This window comes from Homo sapiens, chromosome 12 (assembly GCF_000001405.40).
Source record: "Homo sapiens chromosome 12, GRCh38.p14 Primary Assembly".
Taxonomy (NCBI): domain Eukaryota; kingdom Metazoa; phylum Chordata; class Mammalia; order Primates; family Hominidae; genus Homo; species Homo sapiens.
Window position 1 is genome coordinate 49,200,780 of NC_000012.12, and position 24,571 is coordinate 49,225,350.

Here is a 24,571-nt window from a genome sequence, read left to right on the forward strand (position 1 = left end):
TTAAGAAATGTCTCTCCATATTCCCTTTTTAAAATATTTTTTCTTTTTTTTTTTTTTAAACTTCTCTGGAGATAATGCTGGATCCACCTTCCTTTAGATTTAGAAATCAATTATGCACAGGCAAAAGAGAACTTAGAAAAAGCTGCCTAGCTTTTTCTTCATCTGCCTAGCCTAAAAGATCATTTAGCAAACATTTCTCCATTTCCCTGTGGATGTAAACTTTGATTATACATGTGTAGAAGAGAAAGGCTTAGAGAACGCTGTGGGTTTTTTCCTTCATCTGCTTATGTGAACAGCAATCTGTTGTTCTAGTACTGTCTACAGATTATAAGAGATGTAGAGTTTCACTCAAGATAGCATAGCCTGAAATAAGTCCCTTATATGGCAAGACTATTTATGGATTTAGTATATTTTAATAAATAAGCCCACTATTAATCTTTTTAAAATGATTTCAGTATTTTTAGATTTGTAAGAGCGACTTCACTCTCACCCCCATGTTACTAAGCAACGTATTATACAGTTGCTAGGAGACAGACTAGCAAGGTTGGGGGTATTTCAAATTTCCGTTGTCACCTTGCCTATCACATGACTATACCCTAGAGAGTTTTACAGCCTTAGAGAAAAGAGAAAAAAGTTAATGGCACATAGAAAAGAAGGAAAGAGAGATGAGGTTGAGGAATAAAGGAATAGAATAAGGAAAATTGCAAGGTATTTGAGAAGAGTCTGTGAACTTGGCAGGGAAAGGCTATTATGCAATTTCCTTGAATGAGTCATGGAAAAACCTTAAATTGCCAGTGCTGTATTTCATATTCTGTATGCTTCTACCTTTTCTAAAAACAAAATAGAGAATAAGCTTGGAGAAGAAGATCTTTCAGATAGTTTTTCTGAATATTTTCAGAAGAGTGGAAATCAATTATAACTCTTACAGAAGACAGGTATTTACAAATGAGTTTTTCAAAGTCACACATAATTTAAAATCCCCAAGTCAGATAAACAGCTTATTTCCTTCTATTTCTCCCTCAAAATAGTAAAAAAATGACAGTACTGAGAGGAAGGTTAGAATACAAGTGTTCTTAGACAAATTGAGCAGCAAGATGGTCATATAGGCTCTTGGGCAGTATGTGTTTCTGCACACAATTTAAAAAATTTAATACAAAGGAGAGAGAGAAGAAGCCTTTGTACTGTATCTCAAGGACTCTGTATCTGAAATAAGAAACCAGGCTCCAGGTCTCATTGTGTGTATGTGAAAAGTTGAGTCTTTGTGTCATTGTGTCTTCATGGTATTTACTGTTGCTAGCAACCAGGAAGCTCCCTAGTGATTGTCGCTAGGTCCTCCATGCCTCTGTCTGCCTGAAACCTTAGTCAGTGCCAGAAACACCAGAGATAAAAATCGTTGCAAAAAATCCAGCGCACATCATCCCCAGTGGTTTTATAGAAGACGGTTCATCTTGTGTTCAGTGAAAATCTGTGTAAAATGGAGGCTTCACACAGAGCTCATCCTCAGCTTCTTCTTCATCAATGCCAATCTTTCCGTGCAGAGCAGAGTGGACATTGTGATGGTTTAATTAAAATAAGATTTATATCCTAGCGTCATCAGCTTTAACCAATAAAATAATAAATAAATAAATCAGACAGCCGGGCGCGGTGGCTCACGCCTGTAATCCCAGCACTTTGGGAGGCTGAGGCAGGTGGATCACCTGAGGTCGGGAGTTTGAGACCAGCCTAACATGGAAAAGCCCCGTCTCTACTAAAAATACAAAATTAGCTGGGCATGGTGGAACATGCCTGTAATCCCAGCTACTCGGGAGGCTGAGGGAGGAGAATCGCTTGAACCTGGGAGGCAGAGGTTGTGGTGAGCTGAGATCATGCCATTGCACTCCAGCCTGGGCAACAGGAGCGAACCTCCATCGCAAAAAACATAAATAAATAAAAAATAAAAAATAGTTAAAAATAAAATAAAATAAATCAGATGAAGAGCAGAGAAAAGAAATATTTCACCAGTTTTAGGTGACTTCTAGTTCTAAGGCATCAACACTTGCTGACAGCTTGAGATCACCTTTGTGTTCACAGAACCATGGTACAAATGATGATACTATTTCCACAGAAGAGTCTAGAATATTCCGATTAAAGATCCACATCAGTGTCATCCCCAGAAACGACTGAAATCATCTCTCAAAACTCAATTTTTTGGGTCTTACATGAACCCCAAGTCAATACAACTTACTTACACCATCCTGTACAAATATTTTGTTTCCTGTGTGTTTTCTACTCAGAGGTAGATAGTTACAGCTCTGAAATGGGAAAGAATTGCAAATCTGAGCTGAAATTTAGAAAAGATTAATGTTGAGATGACATAAATATGTACTTCTTTCAGGTGCCTATACTCCAAAAGAGTATCTGAAGAGATATTTATTTATGTATGTATTGAGACTCTGTAGCCCATGCTAGAGTGTAGTGGCACAATCAGGGCTCACTGCAGCCTCAACTTCCCGGGCTCAAGCAATCCTCCCACCTCAACACCCCTGAGTAGCTGGGACTACAGGCATGCACCACCACGCCCAGCAAATTTCTTGTATTTTTAGTAGAACTGGGGTTTCACCATGTTGCCCAGGCTAGTCTTAAACTCCTGGCCTCAAGCGATCCTCCTGCCTCAGCCTCCCAAAGTGCTGGGGTTACAGGTGTGAGCCACCACGTCCAGCTGAGATATTTATTATTGTGATTACAGCACCTAATGAAGTCTATAAGTAATACGGGAGTTAAGAAAAAATCACTTAGGCAGATAGTTAGGGTATGGGAGTACCCCAGGGTATATACCCCAGACAACATAGCCGCTTCATAAATACTTGGTATTCATTATGTAATTTAATCATTTATTTTATCCTCAAAATAATTCTAGGGGGTAGATACAATTATATTCACTATTTTTCTCAGTTGAGGAAGCTGAGGTTTAAATTTAAATAGTATGGCTGGGCGTAGTGGCTCACGCCTGTAATCCCAGAACTTTGGGAGGCCAAGGCGGGCGGATCACCTGAGGTCGGGAGTTGAAGACCAGCCTGATCAACATGGAGAAACCTCATCTCTACTAAAAATACAAAATTAGCTGGGCATGGTGGCACATGCCTGTAATCCCAGCTACTCCAGAGGCTGAGGCAGAATTGCTTGAACGCAGGAGGCAGAGGTTGCTGTGAGCCAAGATCGTGCCATTGCACTCCAGCCTGGGCAACAAGAGCAAAACTCTGTCTCTAAATAAATAAATTAATTAAAATAGTATGTCCAAGCAAGGTCTCTTACAGCTGATAAGTAACAAAATGAAAATGCAAACTTGTCTATCTGGCTTTAGTGTTTGACTCTCAACCATTATTTTATTTATTTATTTGTTTATTTTTGAGATGGAGTCTCACTCTGTAATCCAGGCTGGACTGCAGTGGTGCAATCTTGGCTCACTGCAACCTCCGCCTCCCAGGTTCAAGCAATCTTCTACCTCAACCTCTGGAGTAGCTGGGACTACAGATGCATGCCACCATGCCCAGCTAATTTTTGTATTTTTAGTAGAGACAGGGTTTCACCATGTTGGTCAGGCTGGTCTTGCACACCTGACCTCAAGTGATCCACCCACCTTGGCCTCCCAAACTACTGGGATTATAAGCATGAGCCACTGAGACTGGCCTATTATTATTATTTTTTTGAATAAACCGCTCAACATCCCTTAACCATTATTTTACATATTTTGTGTAACAGAGAAAGCTTTCTATATGGAATTAAATTGTGCAGTACAGTATTGTGTCAGGGTGAGGAACACAGGCTCTAGAGTCCCTCTGTCCCCTTACAGGATAATGGTGACTCGGAATGCCTGCTCACTCTGGGGCTGGGCCTTCCCACAGGGCCCTACCTGGATGATCATCTAGAACTAACAATTCCCCATCCTTGGATTTCCTCAACTCTAGGTGCTTCAATCTGGAAGACCTCCATGGTGTCTTTAGATGGATAGTTCCCACTGGGCTCTGTGATGCCAGTCCAGTCGACCTGATAGTTCTTTTTCAGTGTGAGGCAAAAACTTGTCCCTAGAGCCTTCCTGCATTCATCTGATCTTCTCCCCTCCTTTTCTTATCTAATAAGAGCAGGAGATCCATTTTAGGGACCATGTGTGGCCTGAATTCTAATTCTAATTCATTCTAATAAAGAATGTGTTTTTAGAAGAACTGTCTAGAGGACTGCAGCATTTCACATTCTTCAAGGCTTGGTTCAGTGCCTTGGAGCCATATTGTCTCAACATCTTCATTTCAGAAGAAAATCTTGGCTTTCCCTTTGCATAATCAAAAAATCCATTGCATTGGTATTCTTAGCACAAAGAAACATTTAATACATATTTTTTTTTTCCATTTTAAAATGCATTTCTTCTTACATACACACTGAGCACAAAACATGAAATAGTCACTTGCAGGTGGTGTCCTGGAGCCTACCTGGAAGACTCCTGAGAATCAGGTGTATACACCCATTCCCAACTCAGTGTTCAGTGATATCACACTGGTGGCCTGAAATGGGCCATGATAGAAACATTTACATCATGGAAATTGGCAAATGCTACAAATCAAGACTTTTTCCTTTCTTTCTCTCTCAGTGCCAGTTAACATTTTACCAGAAGGCTAGGCGCAGTGGCTCACACCTATAATCCCAGCACTTTGGGAGGCCAAGGAGGGCAGATTGCCTGAGGTCAGGAGTTCGAGACTAGTCTGGCCAACATGGTGAAACCCCGTCTCTACTAAAAATACAAAAAAAAAAAAAATTAGCCGGGCATGGTTGTGCAAGCCTGTAATCCCAGGTAATCAGGAGGCTGAGGAAGGGGAATTGCTTGAACCAGGGAGGTGGAAGTTGCAGTAAGCCGAGATCGCACCACTGCACTCCAGCCTGGGCGACAGAGCAAGACTCCATCTCAAAATAAGTAAATAAAATAAATAAACATTTTAGCAGAAAACCACTAGGAGAGGAGTTCTTAAAGAGCAATGTGCCTGTAATCCCAGCTCCTCTGAAGGCTGACATGGGAGGATCACTTGAGCCCAGGAAGTTGAGGCTGCAGTGAGCCATGATCGTGCCACTGCACTCCAGCCTTGGCAACACAGACAGATCTGTCTCAAAATAAATAAATAAATAAATAATAAAAGCAATATGTCATCAGTGTAACTTCAATGAAGCATAGTTCATCCTTGTGTCACCTGGCATCATCTTGCTGGATTTCTCAAATCATATAAATGAAGGAAGTCATTTGCTCAGTGACATGTGCTAACACAACTTTCGTTAAATGGGGGAGTATTGCACGCGCCCTCAAACACAAAACTTGCTAGAAATTATGTTCACCATCTAACACAGGGCAGGCTATAGTAGGATCCAATCTTTTCAGAAGATTGGATATATCCGGATTGCCTACAAAAAAAGGCACAAAGCAGGTTGCAGGAATAGCACAGTTTTCTCATTACAGTGTTTGTGGTTAGCTTTTCATTTCTGAGATGATTACCTAAAGGATCTTTATTGAAATCTGTAGATGACTGGTTTAGTTACAACAAGTGAGAAGCCTTACGATCTGACTTTAAATGGTAATTATTAGAAAAATAGGATTTAAAAATCTTGACTTGTATTGCTAAATGAACTGAGAACATCTATAATAATAACTAACATTTTAAAGTTATGACTATGTGCCAGGCTGTGTTCTGGGTATTATATTTGTATTAACTCATTTATTCTTCACCACAACTTTCAGAGATAGATATTATAATTAATCCCATTTTACAGATGACAAAATTGAGGCACAAAAAGTTTAATTAAGTTGCCAAATGTCACCAAGTAAATAATAAAGCCAGAGTTCAAACCCAAGCAGCCTAAATTCTAATCCTTCTAATCCTAATTAAGGCCTTCTGGCATAATTTTTTATGCTAAATATAGATTTAAACTTACATTTAGATTTTTCTAGTGATTTTGTAAAGCAGATCATATATGGTCCACTAGTTCAGCATTTTTCCAAACTTGTTGACCATCCATCTATTGTTAAAAGTATACTTTGCATTCATATTATAACAAAATAATATTTACTCTTACTGTACACAATACACTCTATTTTTTAAATTCGATTTCACTTTTTAAAAGTTGGTCACAACTCGCTAAAAGAAAGAAAGAAAGAAAAAAAAAAAGAAAGAGAGAGAGGCCGGGTGTGGTGGCTCACGCCGGTAATTCTAGCACTTTGGGAGGCCGAGGTGGGCAGATCACGAGGTCATGAATCACGAGTCATGAGATCGAGACCATCTTGGCCAACATGGTGAAACCCTGTCTCTACTAAAAATACAAAAATTAGCTGGGCATGCTGGTGCGTGCCTGTAGTCCCAGCTATTCAGGAGGCTGAGGCAGGAGAATCACTTGAACCTGGGAGGCAGAGGTTGCAGTGAGCTGAGATTGCACCACTGCACTCCAGCCTGGGCGGCAGAGCGAGACTCCGTCAAAAAGAAAAAAAAAAGAAAGAGAAGGAAGGAAGGAAAGAAGGAAGGAAGGAAGGGAAAGAAAAAGAAAGAAAGAAAGAAACTCATACCTGTAATCCCAGCACTTTGGGAGGCCGAGGCAGGCAGACCATGAGGTCAGGAGTTCGAGCAAGTCTGATCAACATGGTGAAACCCCATCTCTACTAAAAATACAAAAATTAGCCAGGTGTGGTGGTGGGCGCCTGTAATCCAGTACTCTAGAGGCTGAGGCAGGAGAAATGCTTGAACCTGGGAGGTGGAGATTGCAGTGAGCCAAGATTGCGCCACTACACTCCAGCCTGGGTGAGAGTGAGACTCCATCTCAATTAAAAAAAAAAAAACAAAACCAAAGGAACAACAACGAAAAACTATTCTGGGCAGGCATGGTAGCTCACGCCTGTAATCCCAACATTTTGGGAGGATGAGGTGGGCAGATCACTTGAGGTCAAGAGTTTGAGACCAGCCTGGCCAACATGGTGAAACCCCATCTCTACTAAAAAAAAAATACAAAAAAAATTAGCTGGATGTGGTGCCACACACCTGTGATCCCAGCTACTTGGGAGGCTGAGGTGGGAGAATCGCTTGAACCCGGGAGGCGGCAGTTGCCGTGAGCCGAAATCGTGCCACTGCACTCCAGCCTGGGCAACAGTGAGACTCTGTCTCAAAACAAAAAAAAAGAAAAGAAAAAAAAGAAAGAAAACTAAAGAAATCCGAATAAAGTATGGACTTCAGTTAATAATAATATATCAATGTTGGCTCATTATTTGGGGAAAATATATCATACTAATGTAAGATACTAATAACAGGTTAAACTGGATATATGGAATTTCTATGTATCTTTGCAATTTTTCTGTAAATCAAAAACTATTCTACAACAAAGAAATTTATTTTAAAAAACTATTTTCTACTAAAAAGAATCAGGTCTTTAAAAAAAAAAACTCAGAGCTTCTAGAAGATAATGAATCAGGGGTTTTTGGAGAAATGGCTAATTCCTGGTCTGAAGCATAAAATGTGCACAATGTGCCTGGTACATCTTGTTATGCCAGAAAGCAAAGAAGTTATCCAAAAAATTAATGGGATTGTCAAAAGGCTACAGGAGCCAACATGAAGCTATTATTGGCCCCAAACAAGACACTATACGCATTGAAAAGAACCATTACTGCAATTGAAAGTGACACACTGATCATATTTTTCAGATCATGAATTCATAATGAGATTTTTAAAGACAGAAAACAAAAAACATTCATTTGTCACTATATTCTGAAAATTGGCAATTTAAAGGGAAGAAATTAAGCTTTATCTTCTCTTTTCCATATTAACTATGTTTCAGGCAACCAAATAGCACTTCTTTACAAAATCATTTTAGCTAATAAATGTAGAAAAAAGTACAGAATTCGAAAATTGCCACTTCGCACCCCTTAATAGCAAATAATTGACTCAGGTAAAGGTCATCAAAGGATGATACCATTACAAGCAAGTTGAGGCATTTTACAATGAAGGCACCAGTCCGTCACACCTTGAATCTGCTAATGAGTCTCGGCATCTCTAACAGCTGGAGAACCGGAAACTGTGTGCCTCCTCGTGTGATGCAGTGTGAAGCGCACGGCACGGCCTGTGAGATAGACCCTTGAATCCGGATCTGATGAAGGCTTCGAGCTACCTTCTTACAGGTAATATGGAGAATAGAGGGGCAAGTTAAATAAACCACCAAGAAGCAAATGAGCAAATTCCGAATGTGGGCCATTTTAAAGAGAACTGTGTCAGCCTGTTCTTGTATTGCTATAAAGAAACCCCCGAGGCTGGGTAATTTATAAAGAAAAGGGGTTTAATTGCCTCACAGTTCTGCAGGCTTTATGGGAAGCATGGTGCTGACTTTTGCTCGGCTTCTGGGGAGGCCTGAGAAAGCTTACAGTCATGGTGGCAGGCAAAGGGGGAGCCCCCAATACATGGCGAAAGCAGGAACAAGAGGGCAGGGAGGTGCCACACACCTTTAAACAACCAGATCTCCTCAAGAGAACTCACTACTGTGAAGACAGCACCAAGCCACCCGGGATCTGTCCCCATAATCCAAACACCTCCCACCAAGCCCCACCTCTGGCACTGGGAATTACGATTCAACATGAGATTTGTTTTTGTTTTTTTCTGTTGTTGTTTTTTTTTGAGACAGAGTCTTACTGTGTCGCCCAGGCTGGAGTGCAGTGGCACAATCTCAGCTCACTGTAACCTCGGCCTCTCGGATTCAAGCAATCCTCCTGCCTCAGCCTCCTGAGTAGCTGGGACTACAGGCGTGTGCCACCGCGCCTGGCTAACTTTTGTATTTTTAGTAGAGATGGGGTTTCACCATGCTGGCCAGGCTGGTCTTGAACTCCTGACCTTGTGATCCGCCCACCTCAGCCTCCCAAAGTGCTGGGATTATAGGCATGAGCCACCACGCCCGGCCCTAGATTTGATTTTTGTTTTTAATTTTTAAATTATTACTTATCATTATTATTTTTATTTATTTATTTATTTTGAGACGGAGTTTTGCTCTTGTTGCTCAGGCTGGAGTGCAGTGGCACACTGTCTGGCTCACTGCAATCTCTGCCTCCTGGGTTCAAGCGATTCTCCTGCCTCAGCCTCCCAAATAGCTGGGACTACAGGAATGTGCCACCACACCTGGCTAATTTTGTATTTTTAGTAGAGATGGGGTTTCTCCATGTTGGTCAGGCTGGTCTCGAACTCCTGACCTCAGGTGATCCGCCCGCCTCGGTCTCCCAAAGTGCTGGGATTACAGGCATGAGCCACTGTGCCCGGCCTATTTTTATAATTATTTGAGACAGGGTCTCACTCACTCTGTTGCCCAGGCTGGAGTGTAGTGGCAAGATCTTGGCCCACTGCAACCTCCGCTTCCTAGGTTTAAGCAATTCTCCTGCCTCAGCCTCCTGGGTAGCTGATTACAGATGTGCATCACCACACCTGGCTAATTTTTGTATTTTTAGTAGAGACGAGGTTTCACCATGTTGGTCAGGCTGGTCTCGAACTCCTGATCTCAAGTGACCCACCTGCCTCAGCCTCCCAAAGTGTTAGGATTACAGGCGTGAGCCACCATGCACGGCTATTATTATTATTTTTTAACTTATTATTTTAAGTTCAGGAGTTTGTGTGCAGGATGCCCAGGTTTGTTACATAGGTAAACATGTGTCATGGGGGTTTGTTGTACAGATTAGTTCATCACCCAGGTATTAAGCCTAGTATCCATTAGTTATTTTTCATGATCCTCTCTCTCCTCCCACCCTCCACCCTCCAGTAGGCCCCAGTGTGTATTGTTCCCCTCTATGTGATCATGTGTTCTCATCTTTTAGCTCCCACTTATAAGTGAGAACACAGAATGAGATTTGGGCGGGGACAAATATCCAAACTATATCAACAACTGACCCAGTTTATTCAACAGGACAATGGCATGGGGATTTAAAAAAAATGGAAGAGGAATGGCTTCAGATTAAAAGACAAGAAGCCGGGCTTGACGGCTCACGCCTGTAATCCCAGCACTTTGGGAGGCCAAGGTGGGCAAATCACTTGAGGTCAGGAGTTTGAGACCAGCCTGGGCAACATGGTGAAACCTAGTCTCTACTAAAAATACAAAAATTAGCTGGGCCGTGGTGGGGCCCACCTATAGTCCCAGCTGCTCGGGAGGCTGAGGCAGGAGAATAGCTTGAACCCGGGAGGCAGAAGTTGCAGTGAGCCAAGATCACGGCATTGCACTCCAGCCTGGGTGACAGAGTGAGATTCTTTTTGAAAATAAATAAATAAATAAAATAAAATAAAAGAGACATAACCAAAATAATGTGTTCTCCTCATTTGGATACTAATTCAAACAAACCAATTACAAAATAATTTATTTTGAGGTAATCAGGGAAATTTGAATATGGACCAAGAAATTGTTAATTTATTAGGTATGACAATTACATTGAGGCTATGTAAGAAAATGTCCATATTTGTAAGAGATAGGTACTCAAGTATGTAGGGTGAAATGACATGAAGTCTGATTTAAAACAATAATAATAGTAATAACGAGAGACAGGTTATATTATTCTCTCTACTTTTGAATGTGTTTGAAAGTATTAATAAAGTTTGAGGCCAGGCACAGTGGATCATGCCTGTAATCCCAGCACTTTGGGAGGCCGAGGTGAGTGGACTCCTTTGAGTCCAGGAGTTCGAGACCAGTCTGGGCAAAATGGTGAAATCCCATCTCTACAAAAAAATACAAAAACTAGCTGGGTGTGATGGTGCATGCCTGTAATCCCAACTGCTTGGGATGGTGATGTTGGAGCATCATTTGAGCCTGGGAGGCAGAGGTTGCAGTGAGCCAAGATCGCACCATTGTACCCCAGCCTGGGCAACAGAGCAAGACCCTGTCTCAAAAATTAATTAATTAATTAATTAATTTAATTTAAAAAATTTTGGGGGCCAGCGTGGTGGCTCATGCCTGTAATCCCAGCACTTTGGGAGGCCGAGGTGGTGGATGACCTGAGGTCAGGAGTTCGAGACCAGCTTGGCCAACATGGTGAAACCCCATCTCTACTAAAAATACAAAAAATAATTAGCCAGGCATGATGGTGCATACCTGTAATCCCAGATACTTGGGAGGCTAAAGCAGGAGAATCACTTGAACACCGGAGGCGGAGGTTGCAGTGAGCCGAGATCTCACTATTACACTCCAGCTGGGGCATCGCAGCGAGACTCTGTCTCAAAAAAAAAAAAAAAAAGAAAAGAAAGAAAGAAACAAAAGAAAATATTAAGTCTGGGCGAGATAGCTCACACCTGTAATCCCAGCACTTTGGGAGGCCAAGGTGGTGGATCACCTGATGTCAGGAGTTCAAGACCAGCTTGGCCAACATTGTGAAACCCCATCTCTACTTTTAAAAATACAAAAAATTAAATGGGCATGGTGCCGGGCGCCTGTAATCCCAGCTACTCGGGAGGCTGAGACAGGAGAATCACTTGAACCCGGGAGGCAGAGGTTGCAGTGAGCCGAGATCACGCCACATACAGCAAGACTCCATTTTTTTTTTTTTTTGAGACGGAGTCTCACTCTGTCACCCAGGCTGGAGTGCAGTGGCACGATCTTGGCTCACTGCAACCTCCACCTCCCAGGTTCACGCCATTCTCCTGCCTCAGCCTCCCGAGTAGCTGGTACTACAGGCACCCACCACCACGCCCGGCTAATTTTTTATATTTTTAGTAGAGACAGGGTTTCACCATGTTAGCCAGGGTGGTCTCGATCTCCTGACCTCGTGATCTGCCCACCTTGGCCTCCCAAAGTGCTGGGATTACAGGCGTGAGTCACCGCGCCCGGTCGCAAGACTCCATTTTGGCAGACTCCACAGCCAGTGTTGTGGACACTGTGATGCACTGCCCCGATCCCCCTGTACTAAGGGGCTTGTTGTCCCTGCTACTGGAGAGTTGTTGGCAGATGCCTGCAGCTGTCGGCCCCTGCAGAGACTTCATCAGCTTCAGGGAGTTGTAATCAAGTTAAAATGAGATCATTAGAGTGGGCCCCAATCCACTATGACTGTTGTCCTCATAAAGAGAGGAAAGTTGAACAGAGATACAGACCTGCACAGAAGGCAGACAGACACAGGGAGAAGGTGGCCATGGAGAAGCCAAGGAGAGAGGACTGGAACAGATCCTTCCTGCACGGCGCTGGGAACAAACCAGTCCTGCCAACACCTTGCTTTTGGACTTCTAGGCTTCAGGACTGAGACAACAAATTTCTGTTGTTTAAGGCACCCAGTTTGTGGTACTTTGTTCTAGCAGCCATAGCAAACTAATACAGATGGCCAGAAAACTAAACAGTTTTGTCCAATTATGCACACATATGTACCAAAACCATCAAGAAAAGCAAGAGAATAAGCACTGATTCTTCCATGTGGGAGGAAAGGGCTGCTGTCCGGGCGGGAGCATGCGGAGCTCCATCAAGAGTCCTGCATCACGATGTGGTTCCTGACGCTCCAGTTCTTGAGGGGGTGGGAAGTTCATGGACATTGGTCCTATAATTATGATTTTAATTTTTACATTATATATATATATATAATGTATATATTTGTAAATATATATACATATATATATTTATTTATATATACATAAATAAATATATGTATATATTTAGAGACGGGGTCTCTCTCTGTTGCCCAGCAGGAATGCAGTGGCACAGTCATGGCTCACTGCAGCCTTTGACCTCCTAGGCTCAAGCACTCCTCTAGCCTCAGCCTCCCAAAATGCTGAGATTACAGGTGTGAGCCATCACACCTGGCTTATAATTTTTTTAAAATGTAGAAAACTCATCTGAATTGTGGGAATATCCACAAAGTTCTCTTGCAGAGTTTGGCATTACGAGAGAGGGGAAGTATAGACAAACACGAGAATCTATTTCCTTTTATAGGGACCAGAGTTCAGACGGGAGACTCTTTCTGGTAATATTCATATCTAGTCCTTCTGGGCCTCTTTGATGGCCCGTGGGATGTAAGAGGCAAAAAATTCGTACTTCAATTTTTAATGCCCCAGGAAACAAGTTGCTTATATGAACTCAATGATGAATCAGCTGAAGTGACTCATTTATGTAATTTTGAGAATGGATTCAGCCGATTTCTTTAATTCCAACATTGACTGCAGTAGAAAATAAATGTGCTTGACCTCATTCTACAGCTTGCTGGAAAATAGGATTAATGTTTACCTCAGAACAGTCATATGAGGCCTGATGTTTCAGAGATTTCTGATGAGTGGTGTTTAAGAAATCCAACCTGTTTGGACTGCAATCAAGGTTAACTATTTTCTTCTTTGGCTAAATAGGAAATCTATTTTGCTGGGTTTTTTTTGTTTGGTTGGTTTATTTTTGAGACGGAGTTTTGCTCTGTCACCCAGGCTGGAGTGCAGTGGCGACATCTCAGCTTGCTGGAGCCTTGACCTCCTGGGCTCAAGGGATCCTCCCACCTTTGCCTCCAAGGTAGCTGGGACTATAGGCTCACGCCACCACGCCTGGCTAATTCTTTTTCTTTTTTTTTTTTGAGACAGAGTCTCGCTCTGTCGCCCAGGCTGCAGTGCAGTGGTGCGATCTCGGCTCACTGCAACCTCCACCTCCGGGGTTCAAGCAATTCTCTGCCTCAGCCTCCCAAATAGCTGGGATTACAGGCACCCGCCACCAGGCCTGGCTAATTTTTTTGTATTTTTTAGTAGAGACAGGGTTTCACCATCTTGGCCAGGCTGGTCTTGAACTCCTGACCTCGTTCCACCTGCCTCAGCCTCCCAAAGTGCTGGGATTACAGGCATGAGCCACTTTGCCTGGCCTAATTTTTGTATTTTTAGTAGAGACAGGGTTTTGCTATGTTGCCCAGGCTGGTCTCGAACTCCTAGGCTCAAGCGATCCGCCCACCTCAGTCAGTCTCCCAAAGTGCTGAGATTACAGGCGTGAGCCACCACGACTAGCCTTGTTCTTCTTTTAGTGTTGGTCTTGTGGCTGGTACTCTCCTAGGGGCCAATATCCTGGCCCTCTTGTCTTTTGGTGATAGTTATTAGAGTTCCTGAAGCCATGTCCAGGCAGGTCACTGCCCCCACCCCTTGAGCAGTTGCTGTTCTGGGGAGGGTATGCCTTCCCTGCTGCTCAAAGAATCAACCCTTCCTTCCTCAGCTAACACTTTCTATACAAGAGGATTACTTAGGGCTGGGCAGCTTCAAAAGGCAATTAGCATAAAGTGGGAAAGCAGTCCAGTCTCAGAACCTGGCAACTAAAGGGACTGTAACTCAAATTACACATCTAAATGTTGGGAGTAGGAAACAATGAAAGGGAGCAATTGCTTAGTGGACATTTTAAAACTATACTCCTAAAGCAGCAACCCTGTCTTTTTTAACACAAAGTAAAGGACATGGTTAAAAAGCTCTTCTCAGAAAGCAGGTGGGATTGAAGAGATTTATTTATGACTTACTGGAAGCACAAAGAGAAGCTTTTATTGTTGATAGCTAGGCTGGGTAAGTGCCAGGAGACACATCCCAGGGGAGCTGTGCTGCCAAGCACTGACACACAGAGAGCTGACCCAGTCCTTTTTTATGCTGACTGCTTGCTAAGAAATGGTAGCAGAGGACCGCATGGAAAGACCCAATGTGGTTTAGAACAATTATGGAGACTTTAGAGTGATCCTGATTTTAAGGGACCATTTGAAGGGAAATAGAGAAACAGTATATTCATCAGATTTGTGCAGAAGTACTGTTGAATTTGTTTAGGGAAACTGCCTTGAAATCACTCTACGTGACCATACATTCAGTGTTATCATCCTCCTTGTTTTTTTGAAACTACAGATTTAGGCCGGGCGCAGTGGCTCACGCCTGTAATCCCAGCACTTTGGGAGGCCGAGGTGGGCGGATCACCTGAGGTCAGGAGTTTGAGATCAGCCTGGGCAACACGGTGAAACCTTGTCTCTACTAAAAAAAAAAAAATACAAAATTAGCCGGGCGTGGTGACACATGCCTGTAATCCCAGCTACTCGGGAGGCTGAGGCAGGAGAATCGCTTGAACCTGGGAGGCGGAGGATGCGGTGAGCCGAGATCGCACCATTGCACTCCAGCCTGGGCAACAAGAGTAAATCTCCATCTCACCAAAAAAAAAAAAAAAAAAAAAAGAAACTACAGATTTAAATTCAAGCTTTCAGCAAATGCCTACCAGAGACCCCAGGTTAAAAAATGTAAGGAGCACATTATTGTAACCAATATATTTAGGCTTAGAAAGATTTTTCAGATTCTGAGCTGAAAGTCAGAGGGAGAGAGGGACAGGGTGTGCATACAGGGGGGAGAGAAGGAAAAGAAGGAGAAAGAGTGATTTTTGAGGGAAATAGTAACCTAAAGCCCAAAACAACGCACAGATTTTGTTAGACTCAACAGAGTCATGAAATGCCAGTGTGGAAAGAGCTTGAGAGATGGCATCCCTGTCCCTCACTGGTCATCCTACTGACGAGGAGCCTAGACCAGAAAGTGGAGTGACCATGCCAAAGAGGCAGAGCCAGGTGGTGGCGGAACCACGCTGGAAGCCAGGTATGCTCATTCTTCTCATGACACCCCTGGCCTCCGTGACCTCGCATCCCACCTGGCCTGATGACTGTGGCCCTTTGTCTTTTGTCCTTCACTTTAAGAGGTTGTGGCCAAAGGGCCCATAAAGCAGGTGGGATTGTAATTTATGCAAATGCCTTCTGGTCTCCAGGTCTTGTATCTTCACATCCTAAGACAATCAATTCCATTTTCCAAAAAGCTCTTATTTTTTAATCTTTCATTTGGAAAATATGATATTTAAATGTAACAGGGGAGAAATATTCCCGTAGAATTTCTTTTCAGAACAATTCACATTCTACAATCTTTTTTTTTTTCTTTTTTTTTGAGATGGAGTCTTATTCAGCCGCCCAGGCTGGAGTGTAGTAGTGCAATCTCGGCTCACTGCAACCACCATCACCTGGGTTCAAGCAATTCTCCCGTCTCCTGAGTAGCTGGGATTACAGGCACCCACCATCATGCCTGGCTAATTTTTTGTATTTTAATAGACATGGGGTTTCACCATGCTTGCCAGGCTGGTCTTGAACTCCCAACCTCAGGTGATTCGCCCACCTTGGCCTCCTAAAGTGCTAGGATTACAGGTGTCAGCCAATGCACCTGGCCTCTACAATCTTTTACGTTGGTGTAGATCCCACATACCTCCCATGGCCATGCAGATAGTGTCAGCTTCTGCAGTCTCATATTCCTCCCTGACAACAATAATTTGTTTTCTCCATAGAAACTTGAGCAATAAGGATTTTGCCAGGATGCAGTCCAGGGACCATGTGGGACTCAAAGCTTAGGTCTTCCAGATAAGCTGGTTGATGCCAGTTAGTTTGTAGAGTAGGGGGAGGGGCAAGCATGGTAATTGGTAGAATATAAAATATAATAATACTGTGCGTCTAGAGTATGGCCTTAGGTCTTTAATTACCTTCTTCTCTCCTTTATTTTTGTCTTGCACTCTGCTAGACATCTTGTTGCCTCAACTGCCAACAGGCCAGTACAGTAATTTATGTTTGTTTATTTGAGGCACATGCATTCAAAAACAGAAAACTACATAAAAGAGGATTTTTGGTTTTTTTGAGACAGGGTCTCGCTCTGTCACTCAGGCTGGAGTGCAGTGATGTAGTCATAGCTCACTGTAACCTCAGACTCCTGGGCTCAAGTGATCCTCCAGTGTCAGCCTCCAGAGTATCTAGGATTGCAGGCGTGTGCCACCATACTTGGTTAATTTTTTTTATTTTTATTTTTTGTAGAGATGGGATTTCACTATATTGCCCAGGCTGACCTCAAACTCCTGGTCTCAAGCCATCCTCCTGCCTCACATTTTGCTTTCTAATGCTCATTCCTGGTGTCTTTATGAAGTGAGAGAGACAATCCTCTTGATTCCTCACCTGGGCTCCAGGAGGCAGGTGAAGACATGGGGGCAATGGTGAAATGCACCTCAAAAATTGGGAAGTAAAATTGTCCTAATAAACATTTAAAAATTATTATTATTGGCTAGACACGGTGGCTTACGCCTGTAATCCCAGCACTTTGGGAGGCCGAGACAGGCGGATCACGAGGTCAGGAGATCAAGACCATCCTGGTTAACATGGTGAAACCCCGTCTCTACTAAAAATACAAAAAATTAGCCGGGAGTGGTGGCAGGCACCTGTAGTCCCAGCTATTTGGGAGGCTGAGGCAGGAGAATGGCATGAACCCAGGAGTCGGAGCTTGCAGTGAGCTGAGATGGTGCCACTGCACTCTAGCCTGGGCGACAGAGCGGGACTCCGTCTCAAAAAATAAATAAATAAAAATAAAAATAATTATTATTATCTGTACAAATACACCTCTTTTTCCTCAACCAAAGAGTTTCTGATTCTCTTAGGCATCTAAAAGAGATTTATATGCAACCTATTAAATCAGCAAAAATTAATTGTTAAGCATCCACTCAGTGTTTGATGACATGTAAGCAATGTGGGAGATAATAATACTAACTAATGTTTATTGAGTTCTTAGAATTTGCTAGCTGTCTGTTGGGCTCTGTACATGAGTTGCCTCATTAAGGCCTATGGCCACTCCTATGAGATAGGTCTTCTTCTTTTTTTTTTTTTTTTGGACAGGGTCTGGCTGTATCGTCCAGGCTGGAGTGCAGTGGCACGATCTAGGCTCACTGCAACCTCTGCCTCCTGGGCTCAAGACATCCTCCCACCTCAGCCTCCCAAGTAGCTAGGAACACAGGCATGCAACACCACGCCTAGCTAATTGTTGTATTTTTTTGTAGAGATAGGTTTTCACCATGTTGCCCAGGCTGGTCTCAAACTCATGAGCTCAAGTGATCTACCCACCTCGGCCTCCCAAAGCATAGGGGTTACAGGCGTAAGCCACTGCATTCGGCCTATGAGATAGATACTTTTATTATCTCCATTTTAAATATTAGGAACTGGCCAGGGAAGGTGGCTCACACCTGTAATCCTAGCACTTTGGAGGCCGAGGTGGGTGGATCATGAGGTCAGGAATTCGAGACCAGCCTGGCCAACACAATGAAACCTTGTCTACTAAAAATACAAAAATTAGCTTGGCGTGGTGGCAGGTGCCTGTAATCCCAGCTACTCGGGAGGCTGAGGCAGGAGAATCGCTTGAACCCGGGAGGCGGAGGTTGCAGTGAGCCGTGATTGCACCACCGCATTCCATCCTGGGCAACAGAGCAAGACTCTGTCTCAAAAAAAAAAAAAAAAAAAAAAAAAAAAAAAGAAAAGAAGAGAAGAAGAAAAAAAAATTAGGAACTAAGACATAGAGAAGTTAAGCCATTTGCCCAGTGCCATACAGCTAGCAAGTAGGAGAGCCAGGATTTGAGCATAGTCTGATTCCAGAACGTATGATCTTAAAGAAGTAGAAATTGGCCGGGCGCGGTGGCTCACGCCTGTAATCCCAGCACTTTGGGAGGCCGAGGCGGGTGGATCACCTGAGGTTGGGAGTTTGTGACCAGCCTGACCAACATGGAGAAACCCTGTCGCTACTAAAAATACAAAATTAGCTGGGCGTGGTGGCACATGCCTGTAATCCTAGCTACTCGAGAGGCTGGGGCAGGAGAATTGCTTGAACCCTGGAGGCGGAGGTTGTGGTGAGCCGAGATCGTGCCATTGCACTCCAGCCTGGGCAACAAGAGCGAAACTCCATCTCAAAAAAAAAAAAAAAAGAAGTATAAATTATGGTTCCCGCACTCAACAAATTTATAATCTAGTTGAGGGAAACGTGACTAACACACATGAAAGCAACAGTAGATTATGTAAGATGAGCATATATAATTAAGTGCTAAATTGAATGCTTCAGAAGTTCAGAGGGCACAAGAAGGCGTGGAACAGGCAAGCAGCCTTTCATGAGGAATAACCTTGAAGTTGAGCCTTAAATGGTCCCTGAGATGAGCGTAGGGAATGCACTGCTGCAGGTGAGGTGGTGGCAAAAGCGTTACAAGCAGGAGTGAGCAAGACTTTGTCCTGGAGGATGGAGCAGCCAGCCTGACCACAGCTGGGTGGAGCCAATGGGAAGGGCTGGACCAACTAGGAAGGCCTTTAAAGCAAGGCAGAGTTTAGGCTTGGTGCATTAGTAACCAGAGAGTCGTAAAAGGCCCTCCATCAATAAAGCAATATTATAACAGATGTTTAAGGAAGACACGTTTGGCAGGAGGATCTATCTTTCTTATTAAAATTGTAGATGACAGCCAGGCGTGGTGGCTTACGCCTGTAATCCCAGCACTTTGGGAGGCCATGGCGGGCAGATCACGAGGTCAGGAGTTCGAGACCAGCCTGGCCAACATGGTGAAACCTCGTCTCTACTAAAAATACAAAAATTAGCCAGGTGTGGTGGCATGCGCCTTTAGTCCCAGCTACTTGGGAGGCTGAGGCAGGAGAATTGCTGGAACCCGGGAGGCAAAGGTTGCACTGAGCCGAGATCACACCACTGCACTCCAGCCCAGATGACAGAGCAAGAATCCGTCTCAAAAAAAAAAAAAACAAAAAAAAACTGTAGATGGCACAAAGCTTGAAAAAACATGAAATGACTAAATTGGTATCTCAAATTCACTGCTTATTTTGTTTGATCTTTAGGCTTTATTTCACATTAGCAAGTTCTGCCAAATCTTCCTCCTTAATATTTTTCCAATTTGTTTATTTCTCTACATTTCCCTTGCCATTACTTCAGTTCAGCCACAATCCTAGGGGTGAGGGGAGGTGTCAGAGAAACCTTCCTGGAAAAGATGACATTTTTCCAGAGTCCTGAATATTTAGCAAGAATTAGCCAGGTACCAAGGGAAGGGCTTGAAGGGGGAATGGAAGTGAGGAGATGGGAAAAAGAAGAGGGGAAGGATCAAATAATGGGCAGAAGAAAGCAAAAGCAAACAAACAAAATAAAATATAGACTTTGATGCTATAATAAGGAAAATTAAATGTGGCATTAACTTAGTGAAAAGGGTCACTGGTGGGTGGTGCAGGCCCAAAGAATCCAGACTAGAACACTGATGACGCCTTGCTGTGTGGTATCAAAACATTTGGTTGAAATGTCACTTCTTGTACCCTGGAGGGCAGACCACTCCCAGTGAAATGGAAAGGAAAGGCCCTTGAAGAGGTGACATGCAGTCAGGGCCCTGAACACACAGGTTGAATGGAAGGAACCATGTTGGCAAAGGCACAGAGTCTGGTGGTGCAGGGAGGAGAATCCTGACTTCCAGGGTTGAGCTCTGGGCAGATTAAACTGTTGATGGGGGTGCAGAGAGCAGGGAAATGGACCCAAGTAGGGAGAACTAAGTTAGGGAGAGGGCCCAGCTGAAGACTGCTCACCTACTTTAGAGAAATGTTGGCAAATGGGGAAGTGAATTTTTTATTTTTATTTTTGAGACAGTGTCGTTCGTTCTGTTGACCAGGCTGGAGTGTAGTGGCACAATCTCAGCTCATTGCAGCTTCGACTTCCCAGGCTCAAGCCATCCTCCCACCTCAGCCTCTGAGTAGCTGCGTGTACAGGTGTGCACCACCCTGCCTGGTTAATTTTTGTATTTTTTGTAGAGATGGGGTTTCACCACATTGTCCAAGCTAGTCTTGAACTCCTGAGCTTAAGTGAGCCACTTGCCTCTACCTCCCAAAATGCTGGGATTACAGGTGTGAGCCACTGTGCCTGGCCAAAATTTTTAATTCTCTTTCAAAATCCAGTAAGAAATAGCACTAGATTTTTAAATAGCTTTGTTGAGGTAAAAATCACATACTATAGCGATTCACCTATTGAAAGTACACAATTCGCCGGGTGCGGTGGCTCATGCCTGTAATCCCAGCACTTTGGGAGGCCGAGGCACGTGGAGCACGAGGTCAGGAGATCAAGACCATCCTGGCTAACACGGTGAAACCCCGTCTCTACTAAAAAGTACAAAAAATTAGCCAGGCGTGGTGGCAGATGCCTGTAGTCCCAGCTACTCGGGAGGCTGAGGCAGGAGAATGGTGTGTGTGAACCCGGGAGGTGGAGCTTGCAGTGAGCTGAGATCGCGCCACTGCACTCCAGCCTGGGCGACAGAGCAAGACTCCCTCTCAAAAAAAAAAAAAAAGAAAGAAAGAAAGTACACAATTCAACTATTTTTAGTATATTCAGAGAGTTTCACAGACATCATCAAAATCAATTTCACCACTCCCAAAAGAAATCCTGTATCCATTTCTATCCCTTCCTCCTAGCTCCTGGTAATTACTAATCTACTTCTGTCACTAAGGACTTGCCTGTTTTGGACATTTTATATAAATGGAATCATACAATATGTGATCTTTTGTGACTGGCTTCTTTAATAAATGCTAGATTTTGCAAGTCCATAATATTGTTATTAAATAACCAATGGTTAAACTACATATTTGCAAATATATTAGGAAGAAATAATAGTAAATATTTGGAAAACAGTGGGGCAGGATGCTAGTATAAGAATAAAGACTCTAGGCTGGGTGTGGTGGCTCAAGCCTGTAATCCCAGCACTTTGGGAGGCTGAGGAGGGCGAATTGCCTGAGGTCAGGAGTTCGAGACCAGCCTGGCCAACATGGTGAAATGCCGTCTCCACTAAAAATACAAAAAATTAGTTGGGCGTGGTGGCAGGTGCCTGTAATCCTAGCTACTTGGGAGGCTGAAGCAGGAGAATCACTTGAACCCAGGAGGTGGAGGTTGCAGTGAACCGAGATCATGCCATTGCACTCCAGCCTGGGCAACAAGAATGAAACTCCGTTTAAAAAAAGAGAAAAAAAAAAGAAGAAGAAGAACTAGGAAGTTTGCTTTCCTTAATGCTTCCCACTTTACAGAGGACAAAAATAACTGAAAATAAGGAACAAGCTATGTGAATAAATAGCATGTATGTGGTGTACTGCTAAGCACTGAAATCTGACAGATAGAGACAGAGAGAGAGAGAGAGAGAGAGTGTGTGTGTGTGTGAGAGAGAGAGAGAGAGAGAGAATGCTTGGCTTTTTAGCCCACTTCCTCATGGACAGCTGGTCAAATTCCTAACTCGTGAGACTGCTTGGATAGATGTGGTTGAGTTTTATATAACCGAATAACACTTACTGAAAGCTTTGAACAAGATGGGAAGAGATACATTCTTTAAAAAGAGTCTTGAGCTCCCTCCCTAACTTTCACTTACATGGGAAACGCAGACATTTTGATCCTTCTCCTTGAGTACTAGCAATCCATTGTTCCTATACCTTGTTATCGGTCTTTAGCTGCCAAACATCTCAAAACAGGGGACAGGGAGCGAAGCTTGGCCTCCACCAAAAAAATAGGCCGGCCTCGTGGCTCACGCTTGTAATTCTAGCACTTTGGGAGGTCAAGGCAGGAGGATCGCTTGAGCTCAACAGTTTGAAATCAGCCTGAACAAAATAGTAAGACCTTGTCTCTACAAAAAAAAAAAAAAAAAAAGCCAGGCATGATGGTGCATGCCTACAGCTCCAGCCACTCAGGAGGCTGAGGCAGGAGGATCACTTAAACCCAGCAGGTGGAGGCTGCAATGAGCTGTGATTGTGCCACTCCACTCCAGCCTGGGCAAGAGAGTGAGACCCTATCTCAAAAACAAAAAAACAAAAAGAAAAATAAAGGAAAAAATAGAGAAAGAAACCTCACAGGTGTAAATGAATTAACACTCACCATTACCAAATACACAGTTTCCAAACTAGCAGGGAGAGTTGCTGATTAGAGAGGAGCTCTGCTCCCATCCCCGGGACTCTCTCTCTCCAGTTTTCTGGGTTTTCCTCCATGTATTAGCTTCATTCTCAAACAGGCTTATCCCTTTGGTGTCAAAATGGCTACAGCAGCCCTGTCACCAATTAATTAACTCCATGTCCAGCAGGAAGACAGAGAGAGAGAGAAACTCTTCTTCCAGTAACTCTGGAGAAAGTCCCTAGATTTAATCTGATTAGGAAGGCTTAGAGCACATGCTTACCTCAAACCAATTAGCTAGGATGGACTGGCTGATTTAGGCCTAAATCTTGTCCTTCACCCTGGAGCTAGAGGTTGGGGAAGCCCTAATCAGATCGCAAAGACCAAAAGCAGAGAATTCCCTGAAAAAAATCAGGCCTATTGTCAGAGTACAGGAAGAGAAACTGGGGTGACAAGAAACAATGTCCATTGCAATTCAGTAGGACTAGAGTGAGGATATTACACAAGAAACCATATAACATAGCATATAAAAATGCAGTTAAAGAAGAGAAGAAAGAAAGGCCAGCCTGGGTAACACAGCAAGACCCTGTCACTACAAAAAATAAAAAAAAAATCTGGATGCGGTGACAGGTGCCTGTAGTCCCAGCTACTCAGGAAGCTGAGATGGGAGGATCTCCTGAGCCTGGCAGGTCAAGGCTGCAGTGAGCTGTGATTGCACCACTGCACTCCAGCCTGGGCAACAGAGTGAGACCCGGACTCAAAAAATAAAAGATAAATAAATAAAAGTATATCTAGGGCTATATGCTGTGGTAGGTGTATTTTACATAAATATGTAAAAGAAATAAGTCTCAGTCTTTGGGAAATTTATACTCTGATGAGGGAGGCAGACATATAAACAAATCAAATAGGCTAAGTGTCAGAGCATGGGTGCTGCAGAGGCCCAGACAAGGCACCGACAGCTCTGCCTGAGAGCTCAGGAAAGGTTTCCTAGAATACATGGCCCCTGAGCTGAATCCTTCCCACCTGTCCTCCAAACTATCTTCCATGCTGCCATCAGAGCCACCTTTCTTTCTATTTTTTTTTTTAAGGAGGGATCTTACTCTGTTGCCAAGGCTGGAGTGCAGTGTCACGCTCATGGTTCACCGTAGCCTCAACCTCCTGGGCTCAAGTGATCTTCCCACCTTAGCATCTGAGTAGCTGGGACTACAGGTGCACCATGCCCACCTAATTAAAAAACAATTTTTGTAGAGATGGAGTCTTACTGTATTGCCCAGGGTGATCTCAAACTCCTGGGCTCAAGTGATCCTCCTGCCTCAGCTTCCCAAAGCACTGGGATGGCAGGCATGAGCCACCGTGCCTGGCCAGAGCCTTTTTTTTCTTTTTCTTTTCTCTTCTTCATTCTTTTTTTTTTCTTTCTTTCTCTCTCTCTTTCTTTTCTTTTCTTTTTTAATTGAGATGGGGTCTTGCTCCATTGCCCAGGCTGGTCTTGAACTCCTGGGTGGAAGGAATCCTCCTACCTCAGCCTCCCAAAGTGCTGGGATTACAGGTGTGAGCCACCATGCCCAGCCTACAGGCCATCTTTCTAAAACACAGTTTGGATCATTTTACTTCCCTGCTTAGAACTCTTCCGTGGTTCCCAGGAGCTACCAATAGAAAATCCAGCTTTCTCCCTTTGTCACACAGTGTTTCCATTGACCTCTACCTAAATTCCCAATCTCATCTTTGGTGCTATGCAAGCCCCAAACTTCCTTTTTTTCCAGCAAAACACCAGGCCCACTCTCTATCTCAACGCCATGTACTTGCATCCCTCCTCCCATCCCCAGATATCCCTTATTTCTCAAAGCTCAATTCAGGAATCACTTCCTTTTTTTTTTTTT

The 24,571-nt window shown here is 43.6% G+C and overlaps 1 annotated feature.

Annotated features, from left to right (window-relative positions):
- Nucleotides 22,486–22,720: a silencer, noted in NCBI's record as "fragment chr12:49617048-49617282 (GRCh37/hg19 assembly coordinates)". NCBI's record gives its function as "represses an EF-1alpha promoter that drives an FKBP-Casp9 reporter gene in an ReSE screen in K562 erythroleukemia cells {active_cell/tissue: K562}" and the evidence as "EXISTENCE:reporter gene assay evidence [ECO:0000049][PMID:32094911]".